The following is a 3,537-nucleotide window of genomic DNA, read 5'->3' as shown; positions in this document are numbered from 1 at the left end:
TCCCAAGTAGCTGAGACTACAGGCACCCACCACCACGGCCGGCTAATTTTTTGTATTTTTAGTGGAGATGGGGTTTCACCGTGTTAGCCAGGATGGTCTCGATCTCCTGACCTTGTGATCCGCCCGTCTCAGAATAACCAAATGAAAATTTTGTCAATTTCTGATTTCTCTCTGTTTCTTATTTTCATAAGATATCTTATAAATTTTCACACGAAGCTTCAGCATGTTTGGTCAGTGCTATGGTTTGAATGTCCCTTCCAAAATTCATGTTGAAATTAAACTGCCAATGTAAGGTATTAAGATGTGGGACATTTGACAGGTGTTTAGGTCATGACAGCTCTACCGTCATGAATGGATGAATGCTGCTATAGCAGAAGTGGGTTTATTATCTTGAGAGTGAGCTCCTAATAAAAGGATAAGTTTGGTCCCCTTTTTCTCTCTGTCTTGTATGCTTTCTCACTTCTCACCATGTGATACTTTCTGCCACATTAAAAGCCAAAAGAAGACCCTCACCAGATATAGCTCCTCGATCTTGGACTTCCCAGCCTCTTGAACTATAAGCTAAATAAATTTCTGTAGTATTCTGTTACAGAGTAGAAAACAAGCTGAGACACTCGGGTTTTAATACAGTATTTTTTTAAGTAGGTGAGTCTATAAAGATAATATTATTTTCCTTAGTGACTAATAAAGGTTGGTCATGCTATATACCACAGACATTTGTTGTTTCATTTATCCAGGAGAGGATATGGATTTCATTAAAATTTGTTTATATTTATTTAATAGGTAATAAAAGGAGGCTGTAAGATATTGGAAAATTATACAAATTTTTATGCTGATTTAAAGAGTTGAGCTGGAACTTGAATCCAGATCTATCTAAACTTATACTCAAGCTTTTGTCATGGAAAATCATAATGCTGCCTTAAAATGAGGCTTTTTTCTTTCTGTAATATGCAAATCTTAAGCATTAGAATTAGATTCCACTCTCTTCAAACAAGTGTATATATGGAGTATTAAAGCCATTTTTCCCATCTAAATGGCTGTAGTGACTACTCTTTTCATGCAAATTTAATTCAAATTAAATTGAATTAAAAAATAAAACTATTAAATTATTAAATTAGTTTTTAATATGTGAAAGACATGGCAGAAGATAAATTTTTTAACAATGTAATCTTTAGTTGCAAACTTTACTTTCTCTTTTTTTATAACTTTAAATTTTTAGAAAGTAGGAAATTTTCTCAACAACTTCATTTGTTTAGTTTATTGGTAAATATAAGTTTTTTTAAAAAAACATGTCTTTATAGAGGTTACAGTCATTTGATTTCTACACTATCCTTTATGGAATCTAATATTAATTCTATTAATCTAGAATGTCAAAATTAAAGCAAGTGACTATGTAACTACCAAGTTGCTTTGGAAATTATCATAGCTCTTCTTTGACTTAAATTCATTTCCAGTTACATAAAATCTAACATCACTTGTTTTACATCTTGTATTTCTAGTTTTCTAAATTGAGGGAAAAATTCACTAGCAATATAGCTACCTTCAGTGATTGAGAAAATGAAATCCATTTATGGACAGCTGCATGGGAAATCTGCATGAAAATTACAGTGCAGCTGAATGTCCAGGAAGAAAAGGTTGCAGGTCTGGTTCACATAGCAGATTTTACCATAAACACCTAGAAAGTACTCGGGATTTTACATAATTCATGCAAAGAAAATAATTAGAATACTTATACACATTATTTCACTTAATTCTCAAAAAAAACTCTGTCCCTATTTTACAAATAAGAACAAATTGAAGCTTAGGGGTGGTTAAATGAATTGCTCAAACATCAGAGAAAGTAGAGGTAAAGTTACAATTCAAATCCAATGTTTTAAAGTCCCAAAGCTCACTTCTTTTTCTCTTTCTTATTGTGCTTAAGACAAAAGCTGCCATTGTCACAATTGTGACTAGGACAAATCTCATATTCAGGCTATTTACATACTCCTAAGGCTTGGAATCTATTCTCAGGCATCCAGAAAAAAAAAAAAAAAAAAAAAATGAGGACCTGCACAGGGTTTAGCTTGAGGCATGGATTTGGTGTGTCATCAATTGCAGAGAAGGATAGAACAATTATAGGAAATTAAGGAAGGAAGTAAATAATTTTGTAAAGAATGTTGCTCATATATGATCTATGACTTGATAAAGGAAAGAATATATATGGCATAGGGTCAAAGGGGTTAGACATCCTTATAAGCTTACATAGCATGTAGACAAGTCTTTACTCAGCAGTTCTCAAAAAATGTTGTGGTATTGATACACAATGAAGGCAGAGCCTAAGTTGAGATAAACTCAGATATAGTGAGTAATAGATTGGGAGGACAGAGCAGTAGAAAGGAGAATGTGAAAGTGGAACGAGGTAGGATCCCAGGGCTCTTCCAACAGAAAATACATCATCTCAAAGTTATCAACTTGTTGATGAAAAGAGTCAAAATCTGAAAATATTTGCAGACATTTGTTCTGAGCCAATTATGAGTGACCAATGGCATGCAATACAGCCCCCAGAGATTCTGAGAACCTGTGGCCAAGGTAGCTGGGCTACAGCTTGGTTTTATACATTTTAGGGAGACATAAGACATTAATCAATACATGTAAGATGTAAATTGGTTCGGTCCAGAAAGGCAGGACAACTGGAAGCAGGAGCTTCCAGGTCACAGGTGGATTCAAAGACTTTCTGATTGGCAATTGGTTATTAACTGAAGACCTGGAATCAATAGAAAGGAATGTCTGAGTTATGATAAAAGGTTGTGGAAATCAAGGTTTTATCATGCAGATGTAGCCTCCAGGTAGCAGATTTAAGAGAGAATAGATTGTAAACTTAACAGACTTAAAGAGTCTGTTCTATCAGTCTTAAGGCCTTTGTTTTAATGTTAATGCTATCAGCTGTGCCTGAATTCCAAAAGGAGAAGGGTATAATGAAGCCTGTCTGATCTCCACTTCCCATCATGGGCTGAGCTAGTTTTTCAGGCTAACTTTGGAATGCCCTTAGCCAAGGGGTGTGTCCATCAGTCAGTTAGAATTTTATTTTTGGCTACAAACTCATTTTGGGTAGATTACTAGTCATTTCTTGGATAACACTGCATGAGCTCAGTATTACACCTACCCTCCTCACCCCATGTCCAACTTAAATGTGGCAACTGGCCACACAAAATTCAAGGAAAGCAATCTGGATACATACCCAATAGATAAGGTTTTAACGAATTCAGACCAGCTTCCACCCTTACACTTTATGACTGAATTTAAAGCCTACTTATTTGAAAATTACTTGCCAATTTAAGTTAATCTAATTTTCTTATACCTTGATCTAACAGCTAATCAACATTCTACCAAGCCACTATGGTGAATGAGAAAGGCAGCCATCAAATAGAACAACTAATTCTGATATGTTGACTAGCACTATGTGAAGGACAGACTGGACAATAAATCAATGGAATTGGGTGCTTTTTGTCCTAAGCCCACAAATTCATTTACAAATTCCAACTTCATATTTCATGTCTG

The 3,537-nt window shown here is 34.8% G+C and overlaps 2 annotated features.

Moving 5' to 3' along the window:
* Positions 1,614-2,115: an enhancer, noted in NCBI's record as "NANOG hESC enhancer chr9:25397771-25398272 (GRCh37/hg19 assembly coordinates)". NCBI's record gives its function as "activates a minimal SCP1, AML or CMV promoter by ChIP-STARR-seq in primed H9 embryonic stem cells {active_cell/tissue: H9 hESC(primed)}" and the evidence as "EXISTENCE:reporter gene assay evidence [ECO:0000049][PMID:30033119]".
* Positions 2,620-3,122: an enhancer, noted in NCBI's record as "OCT4-NANOG hESC enhancer chr9:25396764-25397266 (GRCh37/hg19 assembly coordinates)". NCBI's record gives its function as "activates a minimal SCP1, AML or CMV promoter by ChIP-STARR-seq in naive and primed H9 embryonic stem cells {active_cell/tissue: H9 hESC(naive and primed)}" and the evidence as "EXISTENCE:reporter gene assay evidence [ECO:0000049][PMID:30033119]".

The sequence above is a fragment of the Homo sapiens genome, chromosome 9, assembly GCF_000001405.40.
Source record: "Homo sapiens chromosome 9, GRCh38.p14 Primary Assembly".
Lineage (NCBI taxonomy): Eukaryota > Metazoa > Chordata > Mammalia > Primates > Hominidae > Homo > Homo sapiens.
This window is presented reverse-complemented; position numbering and strand designations above follow the sequence as displayed.